General features: G+C 35.7%; 1 protein-coding gene across 1 annotated transcript in view; it reads left to right on the top strand.

The window, feature by feature from the left end:
• The window catches only part of FBXL17 (F-box and leucine rich repeat protein 17), a 523,064-nt gene extending 519,593 nt beyond the window's left edge, over window positions 1-3,471 (top strand). Inside the window, exon 9 of the mRNA NM_001163315.3 lies at window positions 646-3,471. Within this exon, the coding sequence (NP_001156787.2) occupies window positions 646-786 (141 nt within the window). The 3' untranslated portion in view covers window positions 787-3,471. The remainder of the gene's footprint in view (window positions 1-645) is intronic.
• The last annotated feature ends 12,170 nt before the right edge of the window (window positions 3,472-15,641 follow it).

The following is a 15,641-nucleotide window of genomic DNA, read 5'->3' as shown; positions in this document are numbered from 1 at the left end:
GGTGTTAGTTTTAATTAGGCCTGTCTGATTGCCTTGTCTAATCAAGAATCAAGGTGGTATCTTTGATGGTTAAGGTCTATTGGGGCCATCTCTGACCTGCCAGCCATGTATGTTTTAATTATTGATTCCTCACATTTCAGCCCTTTTCACAAAGGAACTTGAAGTTTGCCGTACCTTAACATTTAAAGGGAAGAAAAATAAACATCTTCCCCAACACTTCTGTCTGGAATCTAGTGTGTCCTCTCCGGCATTCCACAATTTTTGTCCTAAAAAGGCTGTCGGGTTGATGATGAAGTCAAATGCACATTAGCTATCTTACTGCTTCTTTACCTCCCAAGCACTAGATTTTCAATGGACATTGTTAAGATCTTGACAAATCACAGTCATTTATGCTTCTAGAAAACACTTTTGATTTCTTGATGTTACATTAAAAATCCCTAAGGGCAGGTGTGTTACTGGGAGATCAGAGAGGTCAGATGAAATGGGACACATATCTCCTCACAAAACCCTTCCTCACATCGCTAGGAGGAACAAGGCGAGGGCTCTTCGTGTCACAGTGAGCCAGCTGCAGCACATCAGTGAGCGTGGGCAGCGGCGTGGTGTTGGTGGTCTCTGTGCGTGATGGTGACTCTTCTTTGTTTGCAGGTCAACGAAGTGACGGTGGAACAGCTGGTGCAGCAGTACCCCCACATCACCTTCAGCACCGTCCTGCAGGACTGCAAGAGGACCTTGGAGAGAGCCTATCAGATGGGCTGGACCCCCAACATGTCTGCCGCCTCCTCCTAGCGCTCCTGCCTCGCCTAGTCCACTGGGATCATTCAGCAGAGCAGAGGAGAATTGTACATTTGGGGAGCTGATCTCTCGGAAGGGTTTTAACTGTCACCTGTCTGTGTGTGTTCAAGTATGTGTATTTGTGTCTTGTTTGCATACTGCATACCAAAAGTGCAGTTGTCATTTGTTCCCAAGTGAGCTGGCTTTTTTTCTTAGAAATTAAAGATTATGAAAGCCACAAACTTTTTAGTTTTTAACTTCAAAGGCTTCTTTCTCTTTAAAAAAAAATTATTTTTAATATAGAGTCAAAAAATTGGATGTATTATTTTGAGCTTCTAATTGCTGCCACTTGGAGATGTCCAAGTAAGAAGGCCTTCTTTTTACATGGGATGAATTGTGCACTTCTACTGATGATGACTACAGCAGAAGTGATGTTATACGTACAGGCACTTACACTCTCTCACATATTCACACGTGTGCACATCTACACCAGGGCTCTGATCTACTCTAGATCGTTTCCTGACAGAGAAGCCTTCTTCCAGGCCACTAAGGTAGCATGTTATCCACTGTGGCACTGCCTAACTCCGTGTATCCTCGGGTGGCCAACTTGCTATCTGGTGGGTGACTTGGGGACTAGAAAGAATAAAGCCTTTTCTAAATTTGTTATATAGAGGCAACAGTCTGAACTCTCCTGGCCAGCTCACGAAAGTTAATTATACATTATTCTACAAATGCATTCTGTTGAGCACTAAATATTTTAGTTGGTTTTATGTTAACATTGTGTTAGCTTTTATTTCCTGGATAGTAACTGGTCAGGATATATTTTAATGATATTTGAAACTAATCTTAGCATTGAAGCCACCAATGTAATTAATGGTGTGCAGTTATTTTAAAAACTACAGATCATTTCATTATTTTCTTAATTTTGGTAATTATTAAAGTCTATTTCTGAGATACGAGAGGGTAGTCACATTAATAGAAGATTCATGAGTGAGATATAAGTAGACAATCTTTCTACTGTTGTTGCTCTTTTTGCTTTGCTTTGGGTTCTTGAACAGGTTTTTTGGATATATGCATGTTGTCATTTTGGACTAGTTCTCATGCTACTGCAAAGATCTATTGCTAGCTAATATATGAGTTAAGAAAGAAAATTAGAAAATCTGTTCATTGAAATTCTGTTTACACTTGTCAGAAATAAGCATTTCTTTGTTTAATTAAGGATTGCCAGCTTCAGTTAAGACAAGACCTATCAGTAAATGAATATATGTTTTGATTTAACACATCTTTACAATTAATTCATAATAGGGACTCAGGCTCAAATAACTGTTCCTGTGTCTAGATTTATAATGAGGACATCAGGGAGCCTTTTTAAGCTAAAGAGTGATTATCTTTCACAGTAGAACTAGAAACAAAACCCTAACTTGTGAAGTTGCTATTTATTTTTCCCTGAGTGAATATAACTGTTATTTGGTCTTTAACAGATATACTGAGGTTTGAGTTTCACTTTCTTTAAGTCTCACATTGCTAACATGACATTAGCTGTAAGAAACAAGATAGCTTTACATTTGAATGCCATTTACTGATTTCTAATGATTCTCTTTTTTTGTAAACAACTGTTTCCTTTGATTATGTCAACATGTTTCTGATGTGGCATTTTTGTTTTAATCCCAATCGGTTAGGAAAATCTAGTCAGTAAGCGCCATGAGTATTCTTCCCATAACTAAATGGGTTTCTAATTTAATTTGAAGGGAATAAAATTTGTGTAAGAAAAAAGCTGTTTAACATTAATAAACTATATTTCTTCTTACACATTGAACTGTATCATTTTCATATCCACTTCCCCACCACTGAAATATCTTATTTCACAATATTTTAACTGATTTTTAATCCAAAACTAATTTATAAGACAGTATGTATAGTAATAGTAGCTTGAGTGAATATGCAAAAGTTTAATTTTTATATATGTCATACTATATTTTAAATAGTTAAAAAAGACAAAAGAAGGGAGAGCCATCTATGATATAGATGGTACCATTTCAGTTCAAAGTTGTAATAACCTTTGGAGTGTTACAGTTTGGTTGTCAAATGGTTTCAGAATGTATAATTGATTTTTTTAAATGTTGCATTGTTTGAATCTAAAGTACAGCACTATAACATGCTTTAGCTTGGGGGGGTGGGGGTGGGGTGGGGACTTGCACTTATTCTCTAAAATGTTGACTAATCCAGAAAGCCTGATGCAACATAATCTGGAAAACTGCTTTGGTACATTTGTAGAAATCCGTAGAAATACCATATCCAGCCTCAAAGCATTAATCTCAAAAAAAAAAAAAAAAAAAAAAAAAAACAGCCAGAAAAAAGCATCACCTTGAGTGGTCCTGTGATGGTTGTTGAATGTGTTCTCATTAGATGCTTTGAAATGAGGCTTAAAATAATTTTTCTGGGCAATATAGAGTTTCTTTTTTTTGCTTAGAATGTCATAAATACATGTGAACACGTTTAATGCAGGGCTTTTTATTCTCTCCAAAATGTCAACAGTATTTTCAGAATAAAGACTATGAAATATATTGCTGTAGTGGAAAATTCTGGTCCTTTGTCTTTAATGTCTTTTTGAGTGGATAAAGAAAATTCACCCGGTTTGTAGTTTCTATATTTCCGTGAATCTTTGACCTTGCAGTGGGTTGCAATAAAAGAGAAACAAAACACTGTGTCTTTTGTTTTATTTTAGAGACAATAAATGACCTCCCCAATGCTGGTTGGGTATGATGCATGCAGTGGTCTGTGTATTTCTGTGTTTCACTACAGACTTATGTAGGTTTGACTAACCCAGAATAATAAACGAGACTGAGTTTAGGAGGTTCTAATTGGGCTGGTGATTATAGAGATAAGATTAAAATCTCAAGGATTTACATAAGTGTGTATTAGTCCATTCTCATGCTGCTAAAAGGGTATACCTGAGACTGGGTAATTTATAAAGGAAAGAGGTTTAATCGACTCACAGAAAACTTAAAATCGTGGCAGAAGGGAAAGCAAACAAGTCCTTTTTCACAAGGTGGCAGGAGAGTGAAGAATGAGAACCAAGCAAAGGGAGAAGCCCCTTGTAAAACCATCAGATATCATGAGAACTTCCTCACTATCACAAGAATGGCATGGGGGAAACCACCCCCATGATTCCATTGCCTCCCACTGGGTCCCTCCCACGACACGTGGGGATTATGGGAACTGCAGTTGAAGATGAGATTTGGATGAGGACACAGCCAAACCGTATCAAATGAGTTGTTAAAATCCCATTTCCTAAATAGTCATCATTTATATAGCCATATATTCTATTTTTCCAAAGTAAATAAATTCATAAAACATTTATTGAGTGACAAATACGTATAGGCACTGGAAATTTAAAGATAAATGAACTCACTCCCACTCTCAAGTTACTCACAGCCTAACAAGGGGACATTGTGGGGCACTAGCAATAACAGTGGAGTACAATAGATATAATGATGGGCATAATTATGGGGAGCGCATCTAGGGCCGAGCAGCAGCTTTGGGAAGGGAGAGCTCCACAGAGGAGGAGGATTTTCATGAAGGCTAGAGAAGTAGCGGGAATTTACCAGCTTTGCTTGGGGGAAGGAATGGAAGGCAACCTGGAAAATAGAAAAGTATGTGCGAAGGCATGAGGGAATGAGATAGCATGGAAAGAGCAGGGCCCTTGAGGTAACTGAGTTTAATAGGAAGGTATGTTATATAGAGGCAGCAGGTGGGAAAGGTTCCAGGAAGAAAACAAGGGCAAATCATAAACATTTTATGGCCTACTAAAGAGACTGGACTTGTGGGAAAAATCAGATCTGCTAGAAAAGCATTGTCCTAAATTATTCAAACAAGTAGAAATTTAAAATGCAGGACTTCCACTTCTAATGATATAATGGAAAGGAGATCCTGAAAGATTTTCTGCTATGTAACATCTAAAAATGTTCATTAAAATATTTTTTAAAAACCTTCTTAAGTGACCAATATACCTGCGAGAAAGCAAAAGAAAGCTCCTGTGGCCCGGGACAAAACGCGAACAGCAGTCTAGAACAGGGATCAGCAAAGAGTGGACCCTGGGTCAAACGTGGCCAGACACATATCTTTGTAATAAGGTTTTCTTGGGGCACAATCATACCCATTTGTTGTTGCATTCTCTATGGCTGATTTCATGCTACAACAGTAGAGTTGAGTGGTTTCACAAAGGCCATGTGATCCACAAAGTCAGAAAGATTTACTCTGGCATTTCACAGAGAAAATTTGCCAATCAACCTAGTCCATAGAGTTGGTTCTCAAGTATAGCCCCCAGATCAATCACATCAACATTGCCTGGGAACTGAGACACACAAATTCTTGGGCCCCACATGAGACCTACTAAATCAGAAACTCAGAGAGTAAGGTCCCAAAATCTGTGTGCAAATCCTCCAGGTGACTCTGATGCATGAGCTAAACTTTTATCTCTCTAGAGACAACCCTGGAAACAATCAGAACGTGGGACTATATTGATCACGATAGCCTAGAGAACTTGTGGAACATTTAGGGCCAGTGAATAATTGAGAGTCATACCTACCTCACGGAAAGCCTGGATCCCTGAAATGCTCTACCCTTTTAAAAACAGTGAACTACAATAAATCAAAAAATCGAAGAGGCAGATAGTGAGGAAAGTAACCATTCTCAGCCTGGGCTGTTCATGGATTTTTTTTAAGGGCTCCCCTGCAAATTAACAGCTACTGGCTAAAAACATTCAAATGGGTTTAAGCCAAGTGTGGTGGCCCATGCCTGTAATCCGAGCACTTTGGGAAGCCGAGGCAGGAGGATTGCTTGAGCCCAGGAGTTGGAGAACAGCCTGGCCAATGTGGCAAGACTCCATCTCTATAAAAACTCAAAAAACTCAAAAAAAAAAAAATTAACCGGGCATAGTGGTACATGCCTGTAGTCCCAGCTACTTGAGAGGCTGAAGTGGAAGGATCACTTGAGCCTGGGAAGGCGAGGCTGCAGTAAGCCATGATTACACCACTGCACTCCAATGTGGGTGACAGAGCAAGACCATGTCTCAAACACACACACACACACACACACACACACACACAAAACAGTTGGAGTTAGTAACTGAATCTACACTGTTTACGTAGTTTATATGGCTGACCATTGTATTTTTAAGAGGATTCATGTCAGTAGTGCTCAGTGTCTGACAAAAGCAAACACAAATCATCCCTGGAGAAAGAAAGGTACCCTCAACCCAGTCCTCAAAAGAAACCGCAGAGATAGCATGCCAGCAAATATAAACCCACAATCTAAAATCACAGAGAAATGAAAAGGACATAACCCAGGATTAGCAGGGCAAGTCAGTAGAAACAACAAATAGATCCACATCCTCAAAGACTTCAATATTACATTTTCAGATACATACTACAAAATAAACGTGTTGTATTAAAAAGGTGTTTAACACGTATAAGAAAAAAGAAACTACCAAAATGAACAGATACTTAAAGAAAAAACTAAATAAATAGTATAAAATTTTTAAAAGGCCAGGCACAGTGGTTCACACATGCAATCTCAACACTTTTAGAGGCCGAGGTGGGAGGACCACTTGAGGCCAGGAGTTTAAGACCAGCCTGGGCAGCATAGTGAGACCTGACTCTAAAAATTTTTAAAGTAGCTGGGCGTGGCACCTCCTGTCCTAGCTACTCAGGAGGCTGAAGCAGGAGGATTGCTTGGATCCAGGAATTCATGGCTACGCTGAGCTATGATCACAGCATTGCACTCCAGCCTGGGCAGTAGAGCAAGACCTTGTATCAGAAAAAGAAAAAAGAATGTTTACTATTATTATAACTTCTATTTAACATGGTAATCAGAGAGCTAAGCCAGCACAGAAATATCAAAATAAAAGAGTAAGAGCCATAATGGAAAGGACAAACTGAATTATACACAGCTGACAAGAATATAGACATAACAGACATAGACAAGCAAAACCCCAAAAGAATCTAGAAAATAGAATTAAGAGGATTTAAAAGTTAGTTGATGTAATGTTCAAATATAATACCTATTTACATTTCTATATACCAATCATGAAGTAGAAAAACGTAATTTCAAAAAATACTTTTTAAAAAAGCAACAAATACGCAAAGTAGCATTCCTTTTATGAGTCAATTACAAAACTATATTAAAAGACAGAAAAAAATGTAGACAGCAAACATCTTCACGGAAAGGAAGTCTTAATATTCTACAGATGTCATGTTGAGAGACATATCTCCATAGGCATCTTGCATTTCTGCACATCTTTCAAGCAGAGATTGCTTACTTATGTGCTGCCTTTGCTCTGGATTATCTTTTCAAAGATGTCCTTATGGTGAACAGCCTTCGAAGGCAGGGATAGTGTCTCCCTCTAGAGCAGAGGGTAAACATACTTGCTGTTCCATATAAAATACTTATTTCCTATGTTCAGTGTTCCTCTCCTGTACCACAACCCAGTACAGACACAGGGGTCACCCACCCTCTTCACATTTCCTGTGGGAATTGCAGCTTCAGAACCTTCAGAATCAGCATTTCAGGAAAATGCTGATACTCTGGCTACTGCCATTGCTGTGGGTAATAAAGTCCTTTGTCTCTGATTCAAGAGTCTAGCGTCTTCTGCCAGCATCCCTGAAACTAACAGACTGATGTAAATTTACAAGTAGAGTAAAATCTCAAACCTTTCACAGTTCTTAACCTGATAATTCTCCCCTGATTAATCTACTAATATCATGCAATTCCAAACAAAATCCTAATAAGGTTTTTTAAAAATCAAACTCAACAAGCTTTTTCTTAAATTTGTATCGAAGAACAAACCCAAACTCATTTGTATTTAGATAAATGCAAATTAAAAGATACAAGGTTTATGCCCAAAAAACTAGCAAAAAGTGAGTCTTGCATGATTAAGTTTTGGCAAAGATGTAGAACAATGAGAACACTTACACATTGCTGTGGAAATTGGAAAAGATTTTAGCATTATCTTAAAAAGGTAAACATGCACATACAGCAATTCCCTTCATAGGTGTATACCCCAGAGAAACATTAACACATGTGAACCGAGAGACTTATACCAAAATACCTGCATAGCAGCATTATCACAGTAAAACCAGGAACTTTTACATATTTAATTCAATTAAACAAAGTAGTAAAAATGAATGAATTACAACAACGTATCTCAATATGTGTGAATCTTAGAGACAGTTGAATGAAAAGGGCTAGTCCTAGAAGAATGCAGAAAGCTGTACATCATTGTATAAATTCAAAACCAACAAAATTAAATAATCTGTTATTTAGGGATGCAAGTGAATTTAGAAAAAAGGAAAAAGAAAGAAGGAACAATTGCAAAATTTCAGAGTAGTTGTTATCTATGGGAGGACAGGCAGTGCACTGGGATTCTAAGACCACAAAAAGGCCTTCAACCAAATTCATAGGTTCTATTTCATAAATTGAAGGATGGCTTTACCAATATTTGTTTTATTAATATAAAACATATTTTAAGTTAAACATATGTAACATTACATTATACAAAGCATTTAAAATATGTAACAAATTATTTTGCATCCAATATTAAAATTTTAAATTAAAAATGTTTTATACCTTATTTAAATCGATTGACTGACCATCAAGAGTTGTTAAACCTAGACACAAGCTTGCCCACCTATTTGGTTATGGAGGTTATCTCCGCATGACGCAGAGCTTACAGAATTCCATATTTAAGCAGGTGGCAGAGATGGGAGAACCAGTAGTCTCACCCTTCTCCTGTGCTGGGAGCATAGCACTGTGTAAGTTCCTGGTTTTTAGCTGACCCTCATTGGAATTCTAAGTGGAACAGCTGTTCATGTTGTGCCGAGACAGCTGTGAGAATTCGTGTGGCATATCTGTCGTGTCATTACCATAGAAATCAAAGGACCACTATACAGGTTTTGTAAAGCAGTGGGGGGCCCTTTCATTATCACTTCATTTTTAATTATGCCAATAAATCTGGTATCAAAACCTCTTCGAAGAATACAGAGACTCATCCGATAATGTGATAATCTAGAGTTGAAATGGAAATTCAGTTAGGGTCAAGCTTATCCCTTTTATTATATTATAGTATGGGCACAATTTATTTGCCCATACTACCGTTGCTGGATATTATTGGGGCATAATGCTTATAAAAATTCATTCTAGTTTCATGAGCTATTTAGTAGATACAAATGCAGTTAGAGAGGCTTCCTCAATCCCTGAAATGCAACCATCTCCAGGAAATAAACTTCAGAAAACTAAAATCATCTAAGCGTTAGCCCTTCAAAGCATCCCCTTTTCCTGTGATTTTCCTTGACTAATAAAACTATGTGTGGATGCCAACAGCCCAACAGAAAACAGAAACATTTGAAAGGGCAGGCATTATTTGATTCAGCTCTTCTATTCACCAAATGATGGAAGAGACAGTCATGCATTTCTCGAATTTTTTCCCCACAGTTTGGCATTACTTGAAAGATTTGGAGATGAGAGGCGTCAATGTCAAGTGGCCTGAGGATATTTGGCAAAACCAGGCCGGTGGGCACTCACTGAGTTCATTTCTGTAGACTGAAATCTTCCAATGGTGTGGCTTGGGGTGTGTGTGTGCACGTGCTCACGTGTCCGTGCACCATCCCACCATGAATACCGCCTACCAAATGCAGTCTATTCAGCCCTCTGTGGTTAACATAATGGAAAATGAAAAATTAGTCATTAAATACAAGATTTTTAAAAAGAACCGTCTCACAAATAGATACTGCCTTGATGGGCCTAGTAGCTACTGACAATGGTGAGCTTTATAAATAATGCTGAAAGGAATGGAGAAAGCTTAGCAAGCTTGATTTTGTTGACAGACATGATTCTACTGGATTCTTAAGCAACATCTTGCAACTGAATCATTTACTAAGTGGAAAAAGAGAAATCTTGATAATTGGTTTTAAATAAAGCTTTTATTAAAGTGTTTTTTCAATTTCAAATCAAAATTGGATTACAATATAGAATTCATGGCTGTAGAGAGGCAAATACTGGGAAAGACACTTGTAGATAACCTAAATAATTATGCTTAATGTGAAAATTAAGCTACTGGCACTCTGATTATTAGATAATTTAGATGAATTAATTTGCTCTGAAGTAAACTATAAAATAGAGAACATACTTGTCTTAGAATAAATTTGTACTAATGGGTGTTTAGTCCACTTCCCCACTCTGTAGCTGCTGTTGAATGTTACTGTTCCCATTTCTTCCCAGTCCTATTTCATTCTTAAAATTAACCAAAGAGACTAAGAAAATTAGTGATTAGAATCTTCATGTCTCTTAGAGTGAACGAAGCACCTGGGCATGATCTTCAAACAAAGAACTGGGGAGAGAAAGAGATGGTGGTGGCAGGGAGAATTAAATGAATTATGTAGAATGCTCAGTGATGTTGTAAAACATTATATCATGAAACATGACACAGAGAAAATATGTAACACATATGGGCACAGTTGTAAAATGATTAAGAAGCAAACACCGTGCAAGCACCACTCAGGTCAGAAAGGGAACATCACCGGCACTCTGGAAGTTCTTTCCTCATACGCCCCTCCCAAACCCAGGCATCTTCCTCCCTCTACATGTAACCACTCTCCTGGCCTCTGTGGAAATAATTTTGTTTTTATTTTTGTCATATCAATATAGTATGCATCCTTTAAAATGTAGTTTTGTTTTCCCTGGTTTTGAACTTTATAGGAAAGAATCATGCTGTGTGTATTGTTTTGTGGCTTTTTTTTTTTTTTACTCAATAGTGTTTATAGACTCCATCTATTTTGTTGTGTGTAACTCTAGTCTATATAGTTTCATCCCTATGTAATTGTCTTAGTCCATTCAGGCTGCTATAAAAAATGCCATAAACTGGGTAGTTTAAAAACAACAGAAATTTATTTCTCATAGTTCTGGATGCTGGAAAGTTCAAGATCAAGTCTTCAGCAGATGGGTTGTCTGGGGAGAGAGGGCTCACCTCCTCATAGAGCATTCTCACTGTGTCCTCATGTGGTAGAAGAGGCAAGACAGCTCTCTGGGGCTTCTTCAATGAGGGCACTAATTCCACCTAATCACCTTCCAAAGGCCCCACCTCCTAATACCATCACTTTGGGGGTTAGGATCTCAACATATGAGTTTTGGGGGACACAAACATTCAGACCACAGCAATAATATCCCATTGTGTGGATATGCCACTCTATTTATTCATTATACTACTGAAAAGCATTTGGTTTGTTTCCTTGGTGGGACAATTATAAACCCAGCTGTGAAGAAGATTCTTGAACATATGTCCTAGTGCACCCAGGTACATATATCTCCAGGATACATACCTAAAAAATTGATTGCTAGTATTTCCACATTTTCAATTTTATTAGGCGATGCCATACCATCACCTAATAAAATTTCAAAGAGGTTGAACCAATCCACATTTTAACCTGCAGTATATGGAAGATCCCATTGATAGCCAATTTGCTTCTGATTGCCATGTAGTGGTGTCTTATGATTTTAATCTGTGTTCTCCTGAATATTTAAAAACTGGGTATTATTTTGTATGTTAGCCGGCCACTTAGGTTATAATGTTTATAAATTCCTTTAAACTAACAGTTTACATTATGTTGCAAAGAAAGAAATAATATAGACAGGAAAGAGTTAAAAGGATTGCCATAATTTCACTGTGGATTATAGCTGTTGGAGCAAAAACTATGCAAAAAGGGCAAGGAAAGCAAGGGACTCTTCAAGAGGTTTAAAAGTTTAAAAGATGAAGCTTTCTTGCCCTTTCACCTTCTCTGACTTTATTACATCTTGATGTATGGAAGGAGGTTATTACCTTGAGTTTAAATGAGAAGCTACAGGGATCTGAGCCATGCTTCAATGCAAGATTGTACGGTTATTGTGATAATGTAATTTAATTGAATATCATGTAACCCAATGAAATAAGAATGAAAAAAAGAGAGTTGTCATTCCTCTGCTATGAAAACAAAGTTGAATGCTTTGGAAATCTAGATGAAAGGCAAGTCACAAAAAAATCTGTCAAATTAATTGTAGGGCACATAAGACATAGGATGTGAAAAAATGTATAAAAACCTAGGAAGATTTTCCATTTATATTGCTTCAAGAATGCTTTAATTTCTTACTCCTTTTTAAAGAAATTGAGACTAGAAATCATAGATAATATGTTACAGAGATGGTTTATACAAGAATGACAATGTGGAACACAAATCAAAAAGCAAAGGCCTTGGCCATATATCAAAAGATTAGCAATGAATGCATATATATATATATATATATATATATATATATATATATATATGCTCTTGTATGAAAGATAAAATATTAAAATATGTGTGTACATACATACCTTTTTAATGATTTTTAGTTAGCTTTTAAAATTAAATAACCAACTAGCTGTTCTGAGCATGCTAAAAGGAATTTTACTGCATCTACTTAGGCCAAAACATATACCCACATAGTAGAAAAAATAATGTCTTAAAAAGTAACATCTTTTTTCAGTTGAGGTATAATTTACCTATAGTAAAATACACATATACTACAGTTCTCTGCATTTTGATGAATCTATAGATTTGTGTGATAAACACCCCAAACAAGCTATGCAACATATATAAAACAAAGAATACATCGTATGTGTGTATGTGTGTGTGTATACACCACCCCAGAAATTTCTCTAATTTCCTTGTGCCACCACAGGCAATCATTGTTGTGATTTCTATCACATGTTTCTTTTGCTTGTTATTGAACATCTTATAAATGAAATCAAACAGTATGCATTCTTTGTGTGAGACTTCCTTCTCTCATGTGATTTTTTTGTTCTATCAATTGATGCTGAGAAGTATGCCATTATATAAATGTATCACAATTCATTTATCATTCTCTTGTTTATAGACATTTTGGGTTGTTACAAATTTTTTTTAGTGGTTACAAAAGCAGCTATATGTATTTTTGCATAACTCTTTTTATAGGATATAAGTTTTCTTTTCTGTTGGGTAAATACCTAGGAGTGTAATTCCTGAGTCATAAATGTGCATATAAATATAGACCTTTATAAAAAACCAGCAAACTTGTTTTTAAAGTGGTTGTTCCATTTTCCACTACTAGCAGTACCACGAGTGAGAGAGTTCCAATTACTCTACATCTTCACCAGCATTTGGTGTTGTTGGTCTTTTAAATTTAGCCATTTTAAAAATACATGGTTATATCTCAGTGTAGATTTACTTGCCTTTCCCTGATGACTAACGATGCTAAAGCCCTCTTTCAGGCGCTTATCACTCATCCCTACATCTTCTGTGAAATGTATGTTTATGTCTTTGATCTATCTTAACGTAAGGTTTGCATTTTAGCACCATGTATTAGGTTGGTGCAAAAGTAATTGCGGTTTTTGCCATTACTTTCGATGAAACTAAGTTTATATGCATATCTATGACTCAGGAATTCCAGTCCTAGGTATCTACCCAAGAGAAAAGAAAACATATCCTACAAAAAGAGTTATGCAAAAATATGTATAGCTACTTTATTTATAATAGTAAAAAATTTGTAACAACCCAAATGTGGTTTAATATTTCTAAAATCAATCATGTTGGCAATTTTTTTGTAAATAAGTTGACCATATATGTGTGGATATATTTCTGGACTTTCCATCATGTTCTAGTCATTCGTTTGTCTATTCTATGCCAATATCACATTGTCCTGATTACTATAGCTTTCTAGAAAACCTTTAAATCAGTAGCATGAGTCTTCCAACATTATTCATCTTCAACTGTTTTTTACTAAACTAGGTCCTCTGAATTTCTATATAAATTTTAGGAACAATCTCTTTTTTAAAAATAAAAAGGCCCATTAAAATTCTGATTGAGATATGCTTCAATGCCTAGATTAATTTAGAGATAATTGACATCTTAACAATATTAAGCCTTCTAGTCCATGAACAAAATCTATTTCTTTATTTATTAAAATCTTCTTTAATTACTCTCAGCAATGTTTTATTCACAGTAGAGGCCTTGCACTGATTTCATTAAATGTATTCCTATGTATTTTATGCTCTTTGACGCTGCTATAAATGTAATTTACAATTTTTTTGAAGTTGTTTATTACTAATAAATAGAAGGGAAACTTGTTTTTGCATATTGTCTTTGTATCCAGTGACCTTGCTAAATTTACTTATTAGTTCTAAGTAGTTATTTGAAAATTTCTAGAATTCTTTAATCTAAAAACTTATGTCATATACGAAGACAGTGCTTATTTTTTCTAATATCAATAACTATTTTTTTACTTGCTTTATTGCACTGGCTATGACCTCCAGTACAATATTGAATAGAAATGGTGAGAGCTGACCTGCTTATTATTTTTTCTAATATCGATAACTATTTTTTTACTTGCTTTATTGCACTGGCTATGACCTCCAGTACAATATTGAATAGAAATGGTGAGAGCTGACCTGCTTATTCCTGATCTTAGGAGGAAAGCATTTAATCTTTCACAATTAAGTATGATCGTAGCTGTAGGGTCTTGTAGATTACCTTTATAAAACTAAAAAGATTCACTTTTATTTTTACTTTGTCCATGGTTTTTATTATAAATGGGTGTTGCATTTCATCAAATGTTTTCTTAGTCGTTTAATATCTATCCTTATATTTCCCACTTCTGGTATTCTTTGTTACTTCATGTTTATATGTCTCTTCTAATATTTTTTTAGTCCCGAAAATTTTCTTCTTAGTATTTCTTGAAAGTGGATTGACATGATCATAGAGATTCTCTCACTTATTTTCTTTTGTTATACTGTGGCCTCATAATATTTCTGTATTTTCTGAGAAAGTTTATGTAAAATTGGTAATTTATCTCTTAAATATTTGAAAGAATTCCCCAGTGAAATTACGTGGGCCTGGAGTTTATCTGGAGGCAAGTTTTCTATTGTTTGTTTTCTGTTGTGTCAGTTTTTCACTGCATCTGAGTTGTAGAATTTATTGGCATAAAGTTGTACATAATCCCTTATTATCTTTTTAATATTTGTAGAATCTATAGTAATGTCACTTATATAGCACTGTCTTCAGATATGACATAAGTTTTTAGATTAAAGAATTCCAGAAATTTTCAAATGATTACTTAGAACTAATAAGTGAATTTAGCAAGGTCACTGGATACAAACACAATATGCAAAAACAAGTTGCACTTCTATATATTAGTAATGAACAACTTCAAAATAAAAAATTTGTAAACTACCTTTATAGCAGCATCAAAGAGCATACAATGCAAAGGAATATATTTAATGAAAGCAGTGTAAGACCCTCTACTGTGAATAAAACATCCTTCTTTGGTTATCTGTGGTTTCTCTCTAACAACACAGAGAACTAAGTCTTCAAAAGTTTAAGATCATCAGCCAATAATTTAATTACCTGATGGAAAAAAGTCAACAGTATACAAAGGAAGATAACAGAAACCAGAATCTCTTCCAAATCCTTTGTACAATTAAAAAAAAAACTACTAGATATGTGAAGGAAAAATCTGACCCATTTTCAAGAAAAGAAAAGTCAATTGAAATAGACCTGATATGATCTAGATGTTGGAATTATTAGACAAGTACTTTAAAGAAACTATTATAAATATGTACAAGTACTTTGAGGGAAAAAATGGTCATAACGAGTGAACAGATGGGGAATCTCAGCAGAGAAATTGAAACTATATTTTTTTAAAAAAGGAAATTCTAGAACTGAAAAGTACAATATCTGAAATAGAAAATTCATTGAATATGGGCTTAAGAGCAAATGCAAGTTGGCAGAAAAAAGTGTCAGTGAATGTGAATATATAGCAGTAGAAAT

The sequence above is a fragment of the Homo sapiens genome, chromosome 5, assembly GCF_000001405.40.
Source record: "Homo sapiens chromosome 5, GRCh38.p14 Primary Assembly".
In the NCBI taxonomy this organism is placed as follows: domain Eukaryota; kingdom Metazoa; phylum Chordata; class Mammalia; order Primates; family Hominidae; genus Homo; species Homo sapiens.
The sequence above is the reverse complement of the archived record's forward strand: the minus strand, read 5'-3'. Positions and strand labels throughout refer to the sequence as shown.